This window comes from Homo sapiens, chromosome 19, assembly GCF_000001405.40.
Source record: "Homo sapiens chromosome 19, GRCh38.p14 Primary Assembly".
NCBI classification, from domain to species: Eukaryota; Metazoa; Chordata; class Mammalia; order Primates; family Hominidae; genus Homo; species Homo sapiens.
Window position 1 is genome coordinate 8616319 of NC_000019.10, and position 18106 is coordinate 8634424.

Sequence of the window (18106 nt, forward strand, 5' to 3'; positions counted from 1 at the left end):
TAATGGTGATAATGATGGTGATGGCGATGGAGCAGGGGCTGTGAGGTCTGTCTTAACTTCACGACAGCCTTACAAGGTAGGTGCCCATTTTGCAACTGAGGAAACTAAGCCCAGAGAGGTTGAGTAACTTGTTCAAGGTCTCTCAGCTAGGATTGGTAGAACCAGAATAGAGCAACCAAGGTAAAAGTCACCCATAATTTGACCATTTAGGGGGAAGGCAGGTGAACTTTGAGGCTGAAGACCTTCCCCTAGGATCGGGGGAGGAGGGAGTCCTGGGGGGGCCCTGGGATCATTGTGCTGAGGGCTGACTCTTTTCCCAGTGGGTAGAGCTCCCATCTCTCTCTTTCTCTTTTTTTTTTTTTTTTTTTTTTTTTTTGAGACAAGGTGTTGTCCTGTTGCCCAGGTTGGAGACGAGTGGCACACTCATGACTCACTGCAGCCTCAATTTCCCGGGCTCAGGCAATTCTCCTACCTCAGCCTCCCAGGAAACTGGGACTACAGGCATGCTCTATTTTGTCTGGCTATTTAAAATTTTTTTTTCTTGTAGAGATGGGGACTTGCTATGTTCACCAGGCGGTCTCAAACTCCTGGGCTCATGAGATCACCCCACCTCAGTCTCCCAAGTAGCCGGGACTACAGCATGCGTCACCATGCTCGCTTAATTTAAAAATTTTTTTTTGTGGAGATGGGGTCTTGCTGTGTTGCCCAGGCTGGTCTTGAACTCCTAGGCTCAAGTGATCCTCCTGCCTTGGTCTCCCAAAGTCCTGGGATCACAGGCATAAGTCACTACACCTGACAATGGAGCTCCTAACCCTTAGCCCATCTGCTGGGCGTTTTCCCCCAGCTCTGTGGCTTGGTATCTTCTTAAATGTGGAGATAAATCACGCCTTCTCAAGGTCATTTGAAATCAAAATTCATCTCCAAGTTTCAGGGGCAGGGAAGACTTAGGCAGTTAAAGACGGGGAGGAAGGGAGTTTCAAGCTGGGGGCATGGCCTGCCCAAAATCCTGGACGTGGGAGAGAGGGAAGGGCAGGTCTCAGTTTCCTATGAGATTCTCTTGGAGTGAATATTTATTTACTCAAACCCCTCCTGGCAGAGGCAACGCAACTCTCCCACCCCCACCCCCCTTCCTCTTGAAATTCAAAACACACATTTGGCCAGGCGCAGTGGCTCACGCCGGTAATTCCAGCACTTTGGGAGGCCCAGGCAGGCGGATCACCTGAGGTCAGGAGTTCTAGACCAGCCTGGCCAACATGGTGAAACCCCTGTCTCTACTAAAAATACACAAATTAGCCGGGTGTGGTGGTGCGCGCCTGTAATCCCAGCTAATCGAGAGGCTGTGGCAGGAGAATCGCTTGAATCCGGGAGGCAGAGGTTGCAGCAAGCCGAGATCGCCCCGTTGCACTCTAGCCTGGGGGACAAGGCGAGACTTCATCTCAAAAAAACAAAACAAAAAACACATTAATCGGCCTTCATTTGGATATCACAGATAATCTTATCTTGCAAGCTGAGCCCAGAATGATCTGAGGGCTGGGTCCACCCCCTTCACCCCTGCCCCATGCAGTTTTGGGGCCCAAAAGGATTCGGTGGCTGCCAGGTCAGTGTCCTACAACAGTTGAAAGTCCCCATGGCCGGAAGCCCCCAGCTATCTGGAGGTTTCTCAACCCACATAGTGCCTAAATGTTCCACGTGCAACATACTTGCCTCAAGCCCCTCTAGACCTAAACCTTTACACCTCTGTAAGGCTGGTCCCTCTGTAGCGTGATATTTCACAACTAACGTTTCACCCTCCTTCATCTTTTAATACTGAGGACTGGGGGTTCAAATCCCACCTTGCCGATCTTTGTCCATTATTTAAACTTCTCCACACCTCAGTTTTCTCATCTGGAAAATGGGCTTAATCAGGTGGCTGTGAGGATTCAACACTATTAATGGTAAAGTGCTTATTACCATAGTGCCAGGCACAAAGTAAGTGGTAGCTATTATGATTAGTTCTGGTTTTGTTGTTACTATTTCTTATTTTGTTTTGATTTTTAATTTTTTAAAGTTAAACAATTTTTTCTTTATCTTTTTTTTTTTCCTGAGACAGAGTTTTGCTCTGTCACCCAGGCTGGAGTGCAGTGGTGCGATCTCGGCTCACTGCAACCTCTGCCTCCCGGGTTCAAGTGATTCTCCTGCCTCAGCCTCCCAGGTAGCTGGGATTATAGGCACCCGCCACCACGTCAGACTAATTTTTGTATTTTTAGTAGAGAAGAGGTTTCACCATATTGGCCAGGCTGGTCTTGAACTCCTGACCTCAGGTGATCCACCAGCCTCGGCCTCCCAAAGTGTTAGGATTACAGGCTTTTTTTTTTTTTTGAGACAGAGTCTCACTCTGTCGCCCAGGCTGGAGTCCAGTGGCGCCTTCGTGGCTCGCTGAAACCTCCGCTTCCCAGGTTCACGCCATTCTCCTGCTTCAGCCTCCTGAGTAGCTGGGGCTACGGGCACCTGCCACCACGCCTGGCTAATTTTTTTTTTTTGTATTTTTGGTAGAGACAGGGTTTCACTGTGTTAGCCAGGCTGGTCTTGATCTCCTGAACTCATGCTCTGCGCGTCTCAGCCTCCCAAAGTGCTAGGATTACAGGCATGAGTCACTGCGCACGGACTGTTTTTTTTTTTTTTTTTTTTAAAGAGACAAGGTCTTTCGCTGTCACCCAAGCTGAGGTGCAGTGGCACCATCACAGTTCACTGCAGACTCCAACTCCTGGGTACAATTAATCCTCCTGCCTCAGCCTCTTGGGTAGCTGGGATTACAGACATTCACCACCACAACTGGCTAATTTTTAAAAATTTTTTGTAGTGACAAGGTCTCACCTACCCAGGCTGGTCTCAAACTCCTGGCCTCAAGTGATCCTCCCACCTCAGCCTCCCAAAGTGTTGGGATTACAGGCAGGAGCCACCGCGCCCAATCTGTTTTTGGTTTGATTTTTTTTGTTTATTAATCTTACTTGCTTTTTGTTTTGATTTTTAAAATGCTTTGTTTATTAACATTTGTTTGTTTTTGTTTTGATTTTTAGAAATGTTTCTGTTTATTAATCTTTATTTTTCTTTATTTGGTTTTAATCTTTGTTTAAATTTTTTTGTTTGTTTTTAAATATTTGTGGTTATTATTATTCTACTCTGTTCTTTCCCTGAGCAAGGGCACTGGTCTCATATCCCCAAGAAGGGGGTGTCCACCTTGGAAAAAGAGAGGCATTTTCTGGACCCGAAGTTCCACAGTGCCTACGGGGATAGGGAAGGCTTCCAGCAAAAACAGCTTTGAGAGAATGTTTTTATTTTTATTTTTTTTGGGATGGAGTCTCGTTCTGTCGCCCAGGCTGGAGTGCAGTCCTGGTGCAATCTCAGCTTTCTGCAACCTCCACCACCCAGGTTCAAACAATTCTCATGCCTCAGCCTTCCGAGTAGCTGAGATTACAGGCATGCACCACCATGCCTAGCTAATTTTTGTATTTTTAGTAGAGACGGTGTTTCACCATCTTGGCTGGGCTGGTCTCAAACTCCTGACCTCAGGTGATCTGCCCGCCTTGGCCTCCCAAAATGCTGGATTATAGGTGTGAGCCAGAGAGAATCTTGTATAGGAAACAAGTAGGCCGGGTGTGCTGGCTCACGCCTGTAATCCCAGCACGTTGGGAGACTGAGGCGGGCGGATCACTAGGTCAGGAGTTCGAGACCAGCCTGGCCAACGCGGTGAAATCCCATCTCTACTAAAAATACAAAAATTAGCCGGGCATGGTGGCGTGCCTGTAGTCCCAGCTACTTAGGAGGCTGAGGCAGGAGAATCACTTGAACTTGGGAGGTGGAGGTTGTGGCAAGGCAAGATCGTGACACTGCACTCCAGCCTGGGCAACAGAGCCAGGCTCCGTCTCAAAAAAAAAAAAAAAAAAAAAAAAGAAAGAAAGAAGTATCCCAGCCCAGAGTCTAGGAAAGAGATTTTCTGCGTGGGGAGAGGAAGAATAGAGACTTAGGGAGGAAGTCTCTGGATGGGAGGCTGGAGTGTGGGCATGGAGAAAACCTCAGGCAGGCTGGGGACCAGGTCACAACAGGTGGGCTGGACAGCTCTGTGCAGGTCCCTGAGGCCACATGGAGGGAGCAGTGCTGGTGAAGTGGATAGAAAGGGCGGAAACAGATCGTGGAGCGGGCGGTCCCTACAGGTCCCTGGTCCCAGGGAGCAGACGTGAGGTTTGTGTGCCTGGCCCAAGTGTGAGGTGGATGCTGTCACAGTTCGGGGGTGGGGGGTGCCCCAAACCGCCCAGGTGTCCAGGCTGCATGGGACAGGAGGAAGATGAGGATGAGGCAGGAGGGGATGTTTGATTGGGTGCAGCTGTGTTGAGGAGGTCTACGTGCTGGGTACTGGGGAGATGCCCTGTCTCTGCGACTTCATGCAATGTTAATTTCTTCTGATCCTTCTTTGATATCCTCCTGACTGCATCCGGTCTCTTCTGGGCATCCCTGGCTTCCCGGTCTCAGCCCGTCCCAGGAGATGCTCTGATCCTGCTTCACGTGTTTCCCGCCCTGGCTGGCTCCCATCTTGGCTCCTGGTGTGATTATCCCACAGACCTGGCCTGGGGTTGGCTTCAGTTTCCCCTCTGCAGCTGGGGCAGATGCGGTGCAGCTCCCGGCATCCCCCATGATTTTCCTCGATTTCCCCGCGCTTTGTGATTTCGATGTAAACTTCAAACACTGCTCCCTTTCTTGTCCTGTTCTGGGTGGGCCTCTGTGCCGCCCCTGGTGCACCTGCTGGGGTGGCTGTCTTTGCACCTTCTGGTCCTGTTCTGCCACCTTGACCACCCCAGAGGTTTCAGGGGACACTTGGCAGAAGGTGACTAAAATTTCCCATCCCCAGCTGGGTGTGGTGGCTCATGCTTGTAATCCCAGTACTTTGGGAGGAGGAGGCGAGAGGATTGCTTGGGCCCAGGAGTTGGAGGCTGCAGTGAGCTGTGATTGCACCATTGCATTCCAGACTGGACAACAAGCAAGACCCTGCCTCAAAAAAAAAAAAAAAAAAATCCCCCACCCCTGAGTGAGAGACCCTGGGGTGTGACCTCCTTACCCCTTGCTTGGGGTGGAGGGGTGGTGAGTGAGCGGGGAGGAAGGTATCGGACTGCGGGTCCAACTTCAGAAAAACCCGAGTTGGCTTCTGGGGCTCCAGTTCTTCATCTAGAACCAGCTGTCTTTGGTGCTGAGGACCAGAGATGCCCAAGTGGTTTGCTTGCCCGGGCATCCATCTCCCAGTCCTCCAAGGAAGTCATGCCTGGATGGAGTAGCCCTTGGCCACCTTTTCTGGGGTGGCCTGGGTCTGGTAGAAGGGGCCAAGTATTTTTTTTTTTTTGAGATGGAGTCTCGCTCTGTCGCCCAGGCTGGTCTCAAGGTCCTGACCTCAAGCAATCATCTTGCCTCAGCCTCCCAAAAGTGCTAGGATTACAGTGAGCCACAAAGTCTGGCCTTTGTGAGCATTTAAAACCCTGCCCCACCAGCCCTCCAACAACGACCAGGTGAAGACGCAGAGAGAAGGTGGCCATCTACAAGTCAAGGAGAGAGGCCTCAGAGGAAACCAACCCTACTGACACCTTGAACTTGGACCTCCAGCCTCCAGAACTGTGAGAAAATGAATTTCTGTTGTTTTAGCCAGGTCTGTGGTGCATTTTCTTGGCAGCCCTAGCAAGCTCATATGCTTTTTTTTTTTTTTTTTTGGAAACAGAGTTTCGCTCTTATTGCTCAGGCTGGAGAGCATGGTGTGATCTCAGCTCACTGCAACCTCCACCTCCCGGGTTCAAGCAATTCTCCTGCCTCAGCCTCCCAAGCAGCTGAGATTACAGGCACCTGCCATCACGCCTGGCTAATTTTTGTATTTTAGTAGAGATAGGGTTTCACCATATTGGTCAGGCTGGTCTTGAACTCCTGACCTCAGGCGATCCACCCGCCTCGGCCTCCCAAAATGCTGGGGATTACAGACGTGAGCCACCATGCCTGGCTGCTCATACATGTTTTAAGTTTGAATGATATTCCATTGTACATGTAGACCATGATTTGCCCCCTCTTGCTTCCATGCCAGTGTCCCCTGGAGCCGTCTCCCTGCTGTCTCCTGCTGTATCTGGGCTGGGCTGGGACCTAGTCTCAGCTGCAACTGTCTCCCCTGAACCCCCCCGTCTCCAACAGGCTCTGACCTCCAGACCCACCCCCCCTTCCACAGTCCCTAAGCCTTTTCCTATCTCCACTTTTCAGCCACAGAATCTGAGACCCAGATTGGAAGCTCCTTGTGGTGAGGGTTAGATTAAATATGTAATTCTTATAAGAGACTTAGAATGGTGCCTGGCACAGAAGCTATTATTACTATTATTATTATTTTGTGTGTGTGTGTGTGTGTGTGTGTGTGTGTGTGTGTGTGTGACAGAGTCTCTCTCTGTCTCCCAGGCTGGAGTGCAATTATATGATCTTGGCTCACTGCAACCTCTGTCTCCCGGGTTCAAGCAATTCTCCCGCCTCAGCCTCTCATGTAACTGGGATCACAGGTGCCCGCCACCGTGCCCAGCTAATTTTTGTTATTTTTAGTAGAGACTGGGTTTCACCATTTTGGCCAGGCTGGTTTTGAACTGCAGACCTGTGGTGATCCACCCGCCTCAGCCTCTCAAAGTGCTGAGATTACAGGCAGGAGCCACCGTGCCTGGCCTTTTATTTACTATTTTTTTTTGAGACAGGGTCCCACTCTGCCACCCAGAGGCTGGAGTGCAGAGGTGCCATCATAACTCACTGCAACCTCAGACTCCTGGGCTCAAGTGGTCCTCCAACCTCAGCCTCCTGAGTAGCTGAGATTACAGGTGCCCACCACCATGCCCAGCTAATTTTTGCATTTTTATTAGAGATAGGGTTTCACCTTTTGGCCAGGCTGGTCTCGAGCTCCTGACCTCAGGTGATCCACCTGCCTCCGCCTCCCAAAGTGTTGGGATTACAGGTGTGAGCCACCATGCCCGGCCACTCTGATATTATTAATTAGCTGATTGATTCAACAAACATTTATTGGGCCCCTACTCTGTGCCTTGTTCAGGCAGAAGAAGAGAACAACATCTCCACTCTCATAGCACTAGAAAAAGACAAAAGAACCAATAAACGAATACACACAGAGTAGATTCTCTTTACTTGTGGTAGTTCTGTTCTTTAATGTCGCCATGGACACTGAATTAGGGAACACTAAACTGTTGTTCCTGGGGAAATAAAAGGTTAGGTTCCTATGACTCTCTGGTCACAGCATTTTAATCAACTGATCAATACATAACCTTGGTTTATATGTGTTATTTAATTTAATTTAATTTTATTGAGACAGAGTCTCGCTCTGTTGCCCAGGCTAGAGTGCAGTGGCAGGATCTTGGCTCACTGCAACCTCTGCCTCCCAGGCTCAAGTGATTCTCATGCCTCAGCCACCAGAATAGCTGGGACCACAGGTGCGCACCACCATGTCTGGCTAATTTTTGTATTTTTAGTAGACATGGCATTTCGCCATGTTGGCCAGGCTGGTCTTGAACTCCTGGCCTCAAGTGATCTGCCCACCTTGGCCTCCCAAAGTGCTGGGATTACAGGCGTGTGAGCCATTGCACCCGGCCCTATATGTGTTTATTTATTTTTTATTTTTTGAGATGGAGTTTCGCTCTTGTTACCCAGGCTGGAGTGCAATGGTGCAATCTCGGCTCACTGCAACCTCTGCCTCCCGGGTTCAAGTGATTCTTCTGCCTCAGCCTCCCGAGTAGCTGGGATTACAGGCACCCGCCATCATGCCCGACTAATTTTGTATTTTTAGTAGAGACAGGGTTTCTCCGTGTTGGTCAGGCTGGTCTCAAACTCCCGACCTCGGGTGATCTGCCTGCCTCGGCCTCCCAAAGTGCTGGGATTACAGGCATGAGCCACTGCACCCGGCCTATATGTGTTTATTTTTAAAGACACCTTGTTAAATATATATAGTTGCTTCATTCACATTGAACTCATGGCTAACAGCAAGACCACTCGCGCCTGAATGAAGCTTCTCTAACACATGGATTTTCTCTGTGAGATTCATCACAGTCTTCTGTATACTGTGGTTTGAATGTGTCCCCACAAAAGACATGTGTTGGAAACTCAGTCCCCAGTGCAACAGTGTTGGGAAGTGGGGCCTAAGGGGAGGTGTTTAGGTGATGAAGGTTCCACCCTCATGAATAGATTAGGAACAATTTGAAAAGGGGTTGAGTGCTGGGTACAGTGGTTAATGCCTGTAACTCCAGCACTTTGGGAGGCTGAGGCAGGAGGATCCTTTGAGGCCAGAGGTTTGAGACCGGCCTGGGCAACATAGCAAGACCCTGTCTCTACAAAAAAAAAAAAATTAGCTGGGTGTGGTGGCATGAGTCTGTAGTCCCAGCTACTTGGGAGGCTGAGGCAGGAGGATCACCTGAGCCCAGGGAGGTTGAGGCTGCAGGGAGCTGTTATTATACCACTGCATTCCAGCCTGGGCAATAGAGGAAAACTCTATCTCAAAAAAAGGGGAGGATTAGGCTGGGTGCGGTGGCTCATGCCTGTAATCCCAGCACTTTGGGAGGCCGAGGTGAGTGGATCACCTGAGGTTGGGAGTTCGAGACCAGCCTGACCAACATGGAGGAAACTCGTCTCTACCAAAAAAATACAAAATTAGCTGAGTGTGGTCACGCAGGCCTGTAATCCCAGCTACTTGGGAGGCTGAGGCAAGAGAATCGCTTGAACCCGGGAGGTGGGGGTTGCAGTGAGTTGACATCGCGCCATTGCACTCCAGCCTGGGCAACAAGAGTGAAACTCTGCCTCAAAAAAAAAAAAAAAAAAAAAAAAAAAAAGAGGAGGATTGAGGCTATGAGCCTGATTTTTCTTGTTCTCTCACACTCTCTCTTTGCCCTTCCAACACATGAATTTTGGGGCACACGTTCACACCATAGCACCATCTAATGGAGCTGTGGTAAGGATTAGATTAAATACATGATTCTGGCCAGGCGAGGTGGCTCATGCTTGTCATCCCAGTGCTTTGGGAGGCTGAGGCAGGAGGGTTGCTTGGGGCCAGGAGTTTGAGATCAGCCTGGGCAACATAGCGAGGCCCCGTCTCTACAAAAAACAGAAAAAGTAGCCAGGCAGGGTGGCACATGCCTGTAGTCCCAGCTACTTGGGAGGCTGAGATGGGAGGATCACTGGAGCCAGGGAGGTCAAGGCTGCAGTGAGCCAAGATTTTGCCACTGCACTCCAGCCTGGAGGACACAGTGAGACCCTGTCTCTGAAACAAAACAAAACAAAACAAAACCAAATGGAAAAGTGTGATTTTTCTTTTTATTTCTTTTATTTTTTAATTTTTGAGACAGAGTTTTTGTTCTGTTGCCCCAGCTGGGGTGCAATGGAGTGATCTCGGCTCACTGCACCCTCTGCCTCCTGGGTTCAAGAGATTCTCCTGCCTCAGCCTCTCGAGTAGCTGGGATTACAAGCATCCACCATCATGCCTGGCTAATATTTGTATTTTTAGTAGAGACGAGGTTTTACCATGTTGGCCAGGCTGGTCTCGAACTCTTTTTTTTTTTTTTTTTTTTTTTTTTTTTTTTGAGACGGGGTCTTGCTCTGTCGCCCAGGCTGGAGTGCAGCGGCGCGATCTCGGCTCACTGCAAGCTCCGCCTCCCGGGTTCACGCCATTCTCCTGCCTCAGCTCCCGAGTAGCTGGGACTACAGGTGCCCGCCACCACGCCGGCTAATTTTTTTTATTTTTAGTAGAGACGGGATTTCACTGTGTTAACCAGGATGGTCTCGATCTCCTGACCTTGTGATCTGCCCGCCTCGGCCTCCCAAAGTGCTGGGATTGCAGGCATGAGCCACCCGACTGGTCTGGAAAAGTGTAATTTTTCTAAGAAACTTAGCCATGGGATGATGGGACAAGAAGGCCCTTGCCAGGTGCAGGCCCCTTGACCTTGGACATCCCAGCCTCCAACTGTAAGAAATAAATCTCTGTTCTTCATAAACTACCCAGTCTATGGAATTCTGTGATGGCAGCACAAAGTGAAATAAGACATTGTGCGCAGGGACACAGGACTCCACACCAGCATTGTGCTTGGAGCCAATGTGAACAGCAACATCACCAAAAAAAAAAAAAAAAAGCACAAAAATGAAAAAAAAAAACAACCCCAAAAACCCAAAAAAACCCAGCACCACTCGATAGACTCCAAAAGGGCACTTGTTTGTATGATGAGAGCTGAGACAGGAAGGCAGAGTGTCGCCTTGTGTGACCTCAGCTGGGGACAGGTGTGTAGCGCCACTCAAAGTTTTTGCTGCTCCATCTGCACATGACTGAGAATGGCTTTGAGAACCCCACCAGTAATGATTTGGGGGTTAAATACATTTTAGCAAGCAGGCCAATTTGTTTTGTTTTGTTTTTGTTTTTTTGATGCTTTGTCACCCAGGGTTGGAGTGCAGTGGTGTGATCTCGGCTCACTGCAATCTCCGCCTCCCGGGTTCAAGCGATTCTCTTGTCTCAGCCTCCCAAGCAGCTAGGATTACAGGCACCTGCCACCACGCCCAGCTAATTTTTGCATTTTTAGTAGAGACGGGGTTTCACCATGTTGGCTAGGCTGGTCTTCGACTCCTGACCTCGGGTGATCCGCCTGCCTTGGCCTTCCAAATTGCTGGCATTACAAGCATGAGCCACCACACCCGGCCAAGCAGGCCAATTTGTGATGCCAGAATCCATGAATAATGAGTATCAACTGTATCATATTACAGGTGGAAGTGAATGCTGTGCGGGAAATAAAAGGCTGGGTTGAAAACAGACTCACGCCTTTAATCCCATTGCTTTGGGAGGCTGAAGTGGGAGGATCATTTGAGGCTAGGGGTTTGAGACCAGCCCAGGCAACATAGCAAGACCATGTTTCTGCCAAAAGAATGTTTTTTAGAAGAATAGCTGGGTGTGGTGGCATGTGTCTGTAGTCCCATCTACTTGGGAGGCTGAGGCAGGAGAATCGCTTGAGTCCAGGAGTTTGAGGCTGCAGTGAGCTATGATTGCACCACTGTACTCCAGCCTGGGTGACAGAGCAAGACCCTGTCTCTAAAAAGATAAAAATAGGCCTGGTGCGGTGGCTCACGCCTGTAATCCCAGCACTTTGGGAGGCCGAGGTGGGCAGATCACGAGGTCAGGAGATCGAGACCATCCTGGCTAACATGGTGAAACCCCGTCTCTACTAAAAATACACACACACACACACAAATAGCCGGACGCGGTGGCCGGGCACCTGTAGTCCCAGCTACTCTGGAGGCTGAGGCAGGAGAATGGCATGAACCTGGGAGGCGGAGCTTGCAGTTAGCGGAGATTGTGCCACTGCACTCCAGCCTGGGGGACAGAGTGAGACTCTGTCTCAAAAAAAAAAAAAAAAAAAAAAAGATAAAAACAGGCTGGACGCGGTGGCTCACGCCTGTAATCCCAGCACTTTGGGAGGCCGAGGCTGGTGGATCACCTGAGGTCAGGGGTTGGAGACCAGCCTGGTCAATATGGCAAAACCTGTCTCTACTAAAAATACAAAAATTAGCTGGGCATGGTGGCACGCACCTGTAATCCCAGCTACTTGGGAGGTTGAAGGAGAATTGCTGTAACCAGGAGGCAGAGATTGCAGTGAGCCGAGATGGCAGCACTGCACTCCAGCCTGGTCGACAGAGCGAGATTCTATCTCAAAAAAAGAGAGAAAGAAAAAAAGGATAAAAATACATAAAATGAAAGAAAAGAAAACAGGGAGACAAGGGGAGAGAGTGTATGTTAGTTACCTAGGACTGCTATAACAAAATACTAGAAACTGGTGATTTTTGACAATAGAACTTTATTGTACAGTTTGGGAGACCAGGAGTCCAAAATCAAGGTGTCGACAGGGCCATGCTCCTTCTGAAGGACCCTTCCTTGCTTCTCCCTGGCTTCTGGTGGTGGCCAGCTATCCTTGGCTTGCAGCTGCATCACTCCAATCTCAGCTTCCGTCGTGTAGCCTTCTTTGCGTGTGTCTGCCTCTGTTTCTGAATTTCCTCCTTCTTCTTTTTTTTTTCCTTTTTGAGATGGAGTTTCACTCTTGTCACCCAGCCTGGAGTGCAATGGTGTAACCTCGGCCCACTGCAACCTCTGCCTCCTGAGTTGGAGTGATTCTCCTGCTTCAGCCTCCTGAGCAGCTGGGATTACAGGTGCCCACAACTCTGCCTGGCTAATTTTTTTGTATTTTTAGTAGAGACGGGGTTTCATCATGTTGGCCAGGCTGGCCTTGAACTCCTGACCTCAGCTGATCTGCCCACCTCAGCCTCCCAAAGTGCTGTGATTACACAGGCATGAGCCACCAAGCCTGCCATTTCCCTCTTTTTTTTTTTTTTGAGATGGAGTTTCGCTCTTGTTGCCCAGGCTGGAGTGCAACGGTGCAATCTGGGCTCACTGCAACCACTGCCTCCCAGGTTCAAGTGATTCTCCTGCCTCAGCTCCCAAGTAGTTGGGATTACAGGCACCCGCCACCACGTCTGGCTAATTTTGTATTTTTAGTAGAGACGGGGTTTCTCCATGTTGGTCAGGCTGGTCTTGAACTCCTGACCTCAGGCGATCTGCCCACCTTGGCCTCCCAAAGTGCTGGAATTACAGGCGTGAGCCACTATGCCTGGCCATTTTCGTCTTCTTATAAGGACACGAGTCACATTGGATTAGGACCCACCATAACGCAGGAGGACCTCATCTTAAGTTGATTTCATCTGCAAAGACTGTATTTCCAAATAAAGTCTCATTCACAAGTTCCAGATGGGCATGAATTTAGGGGAGGGGACACTATTCAACCCAGTCCAGGGGGCTCTTTTAGAGAGGGAGTTCATGGAAGCATGGAAGGCTTCTTGGAGGAGGCAATATATGATCAGAGGCCTGATTGAAGTCAAGGGGATCTGGGGCAGGAGCATTCTAAGTGGAGGGAACAACGTGTGCAAAGGTCTTGGGGTTGGGCTGTGCCTGTTTTGTTATCTGTTCTGGCATCATAACAGGGTCTGTGTGTACAGCTGGAAGGAAGTGAGTTGATGTGGGAGAGGTGAGGACAGGGAGGTGACAGGGACAGGTCATGAAGGGCCTTGTGGGCTGCAGGAAGGACTTGGGCTTTTACCCTGAGGAGGTGGGAGCCATGGAGGACTGTGGACAGAGGAAGGATGTGAGACCCCAGAGAAGGACAAGACAGCACAAGGGCAGGCTAGGGTCCGGGTTTGGTATCTCACAGAAACCCCACAATCTCCTGGTGTTGGACACTTTATCTCACTCAGATAAAAATACATAAAATGAAAGGAAAGATAAAAATAAATAAAAAGAAAGAAAGGATAGGCCAGGCACGGTGGCTTACGCCTATAATCCCAGCACTTTGGGAGGCCGAGTCGGGTGGATCACCTGAGGTCAAGAGTTAGAGACCAGCCTGACCAACATGGTAAAACCCCGTCTCTACTAAAAATACAAAATTAGCCAAGTGTGGTGGCACATGCCTGTAATCCCAGCTACTTGGGAGGCTGAGACAGGAAAATTGCTTGAACCCAGGAGGCGGAGGTTGCAGTGAGCCGAGACTGTGCCATTGCACTCCAGCCTGGGCAACAAGAGTGAAACTCCATAAAAAAAAAACAAAGAAAGAAATGATAAAAATAAATTAAAGAAAAGAAAACAGGGAGAGAAAGGGAGAGAGTGTATGTTAGTTACCTAGGACTGCTATAACAAAATACTACAAACTTCCAGATGAGGTCTGGTGAGTTTAACTCCCCAGGATCACACAATTGCTCAGTGGTAGATGCACAGTTCAAATCCACACTGGTGTGTGGCATCAGGAATAACCTATGAGAGTGTTCATAGTGTCCATGAACATTGTATTCACTAGCTTCAAACTCCTGTCACTGATAGTTATTTATTTATTTTTGAGTTGGAGTCTCACACTGTCACCCGGGCTGGAGTGCAACAGCATGATCTCTGCTCACCGCAACCTCTGCCTCTTAGGTTCAAGTGATTCTCTTGCCTCAGCCTCCTGAGTAGCTGGGATTATAGGCACGTGCCACCGCGCCTGGCTAATTTTTTGTCTTTTTAGTACAGACGGGGTTTTACTACGTTGGCCAGGTTGGTCTTGAACTCCTGAGCTTGTGATTCACCTGCCCGGGCCTCCCAAAGATCTGGGATTACAGGCGTGAGCCACCGCACCCAGCCTATCACTGATATTTATGATGTCACCTCCATGGCACTTTGTTGGTTGACAATACCTGGGATATCTCCATTATAGCCCTGTTCGTGGGCACAGAGTTCTCTGCCATGGCTGGGGACTAGGAAGTGGGAAAGAGCTCTAGGGGAACCTGAGGGCTTGGGTGGAAGACTGGAGAGCCAGGAGGAGCAAGGAGCAGGAAGCAAGGTGGTAATGATGAGAGGCTGAGTCTTCCTTCCCATGCCTTGGGTGGGACATTTCTGGTCTCTGACACAGGAGGGCATGCAGACCTGGGTTAGGCTCCTCTCTCCCCCACACAGGTCCGGTTGGATCAGCTTATTCCCCCTGCAGCTTAACTACCTCCATCTCCCTTCTGGGATCTCATGATTGCCTTTAATTGGGGCCTTGGATGCCCGGGTCGTGTTGCATGGAACTGCGGCCAAGTGAGGGGATTAAGCAAAGCTGACTAGGATCGTTTCATGCAGATCTTTTCAGAGCCTTTAATAGACACCTGTGCTTTGCACAGCTTTCTCAAACTTACTTAACTCCTTTGATATTTTTTCCTCTGTAGCATTTTGGGGTACCAGGGGTTTCTGGAAGGGATACAGGAATCATTGCTTTAACTCAAAGAGGGTGCCTGAATGGTGGAATTTCAGGCAGGGACTTCTGGCTAAGCATCAAAGGTTTCCTCCTGCTCCTCCCTCTCTGCTTTCCCTTCCCAGGACCCGGGCACTGAGAACAAGGCTGGCACCCCACAGCTCTCTCAGGGGTGGCCCAGTGGGGTTGCAAATTCTAGGCAGGCCAAATTAGGAGCTCACAGGGAGGCTGGAGGGGGTCAGCCCAGGCAGGGCTGGGGGCTGGGCTTGGGATGAACAGGGGGACTGAACAGAGAGGCAGCATTCTGAACTGGAGTTCTGTGCCTGTCCCTTGATCTCTGGGGGGTCTGGAGGCAGGCGTGTCTTCTGGGAAGGCAGCGGAGTCCCCTGGGACAAAGCCCAGGGATTAGCTCAGTAGACAAACATCTGAGTCTTGGCCCCCTCTTCCCCCGAGTCCAGGGTCACAGTGGGAGGCCGCAGATTGGCCCTGTTCTTCTGAAAGTAAACAGGCAGTGCTGGCCTGGCTTCCCCTACATCCAGCCGCCAGGCCTTCGTGTCCAGCCCCTTTGTGCGGCGGCTCCAGCCTCTCAGCCTCCTGGCCTTTCACTTTCTGCCTCCTCCGTCTACACCCGCTGACCTCTTGAAGCGTCTCTAGTGATGGGGACCCTGGGGGCTTGGTCACTCCAGTCCTCGCTTTTGTGTGTGTGTGTGTGTGTGTGTGTGTGTGTGTGTGTTTTGTTTGTTTGTTTTTTTGAGATGGGGTTTCGCTCTTGTTGCCCAGGCTGCAATGCAGTGGCTCGATCTCAGCTCACTGCAACCTCTGCCTCCCGGGTTCAAGCAATTCTTTCGTCTCAGCCTCTCCAGTACTGGGATTACAGGTGCCTGCCGCCACACTCGGCTAATTTTTGTACTTTTAGTAGAGATGGGGTTGCACCATGTTGGTCAGGCTGGTCTCGAACTCCTGACCTCAGGTGATCCACCTGCCTTGGCCTCCCAAAGTGCTGGGATTACAGGCGTGAGCCACCGCGCCCGGCCGCCCTTGTGTTTTATTACTGGGATGCTCTAGAGGAGCCAGAGGGAGGCAGGTTCAGGGCTGACTGCCCCGCCATACAGTGTGTGTGTGTGTGTGTGTGTGTGTGTGTCAGGGGGTTATTTTTACCGCTGTTGTGTCAGAGACTTGTGAACCAGAGTGACTCCATCTTGAATAGGGGCTGGGTAAAATGAGCCTGAGACTTACTGGGCTGCACTCCCAGACAGTTAAGGCATTCTAAGCCACAGGATGAGAGGGGAGTTTGGCACAAGATACAGGTCATAAAGACCTTGCTGATAAAACTGGTTGCAGTAAAGAAGCCGGCCCAAACCCATCAAGACCAAGATGATGACATGAGTGACCTCTGATTGTCCTCACTGCTACACTCCCACCAGCCCCCTGACGGTTTACAGATGCCATGGCAACATCAGGAAGTTACCCTCTATGCTCTAAAAACGGGAGGTATGAATAATCCACCCCTTGTTTAGCATATCATCAAGAAATAACCATAAAAATGGGCAACCAGCAGCTCTTGTCTGTGGAGTAGCCATTCTTTTATTCCTTTTTTTTTTTTTTTGAGACGGAATCTCGCTCTGTCCCCCAGGCTGGAGTGCAGTGGCACGATCTTGGCTCACTGCAACCTCCGCCTCCCAGGTTCAAGCAATTCTTCTTCCTCAGCCTCCTGAGTAGCTGGGATTACAGGCACACACCACCATGCCCAGCTAATTTTTGTATTTTTAGTAGAGACAGGGTTTCACCATGTTGTCCAGGCTGGTCTCAAACTCTTGACCTCAGGTGATCCGCCTGCCTCAGCCTCCCAAAGTGCTGGGATTACAGGCATGAACCACTGCACCTGCCTTTTTTTTTTTTTTTTTGAGACAGAGCCTTGCTCTGTCACTCAGGCTGGAGTGCAGTGGTGTAATCTTGGCTTACTGCACCCTCTGCCTCCTGGGTTCAAGGGATTCTCCTGCCTCAGCCTCCTGACTGATTGAGATTACAGATGTGCACCACCATGCCCAGCTAATTTTTTGTATTTTCAGTCGAGACGGGGTTTTACCGTGTTGGCCAGACTGGTCTTGGATTCCTGACCTAAGGCGATGCACCCACCTCGGCCTCCCAAAGTGCTGGGATTATAGGTGGAAGCCAACGCGCCCGGCCTCCTTTACTTCCTTAATAAGCTTGCTTTCACTTTACTCCGTGGACTCTCCCTGAAATCTTTCTTGCGGGGGACCTAAGAACCCTCTTTTGGGGTCTGGATCGGGACCCTTTTCCAGTAAAAGTTGGTGTTATTGGCAGTGAGGTAGGGAAGCTGCGGCTAAGCTGAGGCTGCACAGGGAAGGTGTCTTGACCTTGAACTTGACACCTTGACCTTGGACCCTTGCCTAGGCTCTGAGGGCCAGCTCCTTTCCCTCTCTCTACCTTCCCCCACCTCTGGCTCTTGGAAGTGCACCTGCAGCTGCTGTGGGAGGAGCCCTCCAGCCGCCCTGAGGATGGTTTCCTGCCTCCCTTCCTGCCCCCTCTGAAGACCAACTTAGCTATGCCCAACTCAGCTCTTGTCCTGGGACAAGGCCCCCTGCCTCCTGGTCAAGGGAGCAGGGTCCTGGGGAGGGAGAGACAGATGTCGAGGCTGGACAGGAGGTTGTGGAAGGGGAGGAAGTGGATTTGGGAGTATAGCTTTCTTTCTTACTCAGTTATCATTAGTATAACTTTTCTCCCTTCCTTCCTTCCTTCCTTCCTTCCTTCCTTCCTTCCTTCCTTCCTTCCTTCCTTCCTTCCTTCCTTCCCTCCCTTCTTTCCTTCTCTCTCTCTCTTTTTTGCTTTCTTGCTTGCTTTCTTGTTTCCTTTTTTTTTTGAGATAGAGTCTTGCTCTGTCACCCAGGCTGCAGTACGGTGGCGCCATCTCGGCTCATTGCAACCTCCACCTGCCAGGTTCAAGCGATTCTCCTGCCTCAGCCTCCCAAGTAGCTGGGACTACAGGTGTGTGCTATCATGCCCAGCTGATTTTTGTATCTTTGGTAGAGAAGGGGTTTCACCATGTTGGCCAGGCTGGTCTTGAACCCCTGGCTTCAAGTGATCCACCCCCTTGGTCTCCCAAAGTGTTGGGATTACAGGCGTGAGCCACCCTGCCTGGCCTCTTTTTTTTTTCTTTTTGAGACAGGGTTTCACTCTGTTGCCCAGGCTGGATTGCAGTGGTGCAATCCAGCCTTGAATGTCTGGGCTCAAATGATTCTCCCACATCAGCCTCCTGAGTAGCTGGAACT

General features: G+C 50.1%; 1 protein-coding gene across 2 annotated transcripts in view, besides 1 other annotated feature; it reads left to right on the forward strand.

The window, feature by feature from the left end:
• The first annotated feature begins 14314 nt into the window (after positions 1–14314).
• NFILZ (NFIL3 like basic leucine zipper) overlaps positions 14315–18106 on the forward strand; it is a 50519-nt gene continuing 46727 nt past the window's right edge. For both annotated transcript variants that reach the window (NM_001378599.1, NM_001378600.1), the window contains exons 1-2: positions 14315–14426; positions 16158–16307. The gene's annotated coding sequence lies outside the window, so the exon portion shown is untranslated. The remainder of the gene's footprint in view (positions 14427–16157; positions 16308–18106) is intronic.
• Positions 15121–15415: an enhancer, noted in NCBI's record as "tiled region #9055; HepG2 Activating DNase unmatched - State 1:Tss". NCBI's record gives its function as "activates a minimal TATA promoter and a strong SV40 promoter by Sharpr-MPRA in HepG2 cells {active_cell/tissue: HepG2}" and the evidence as "EXISTENCE:reporter gene assay evidence [ECO:0000049][PMID:27701403]".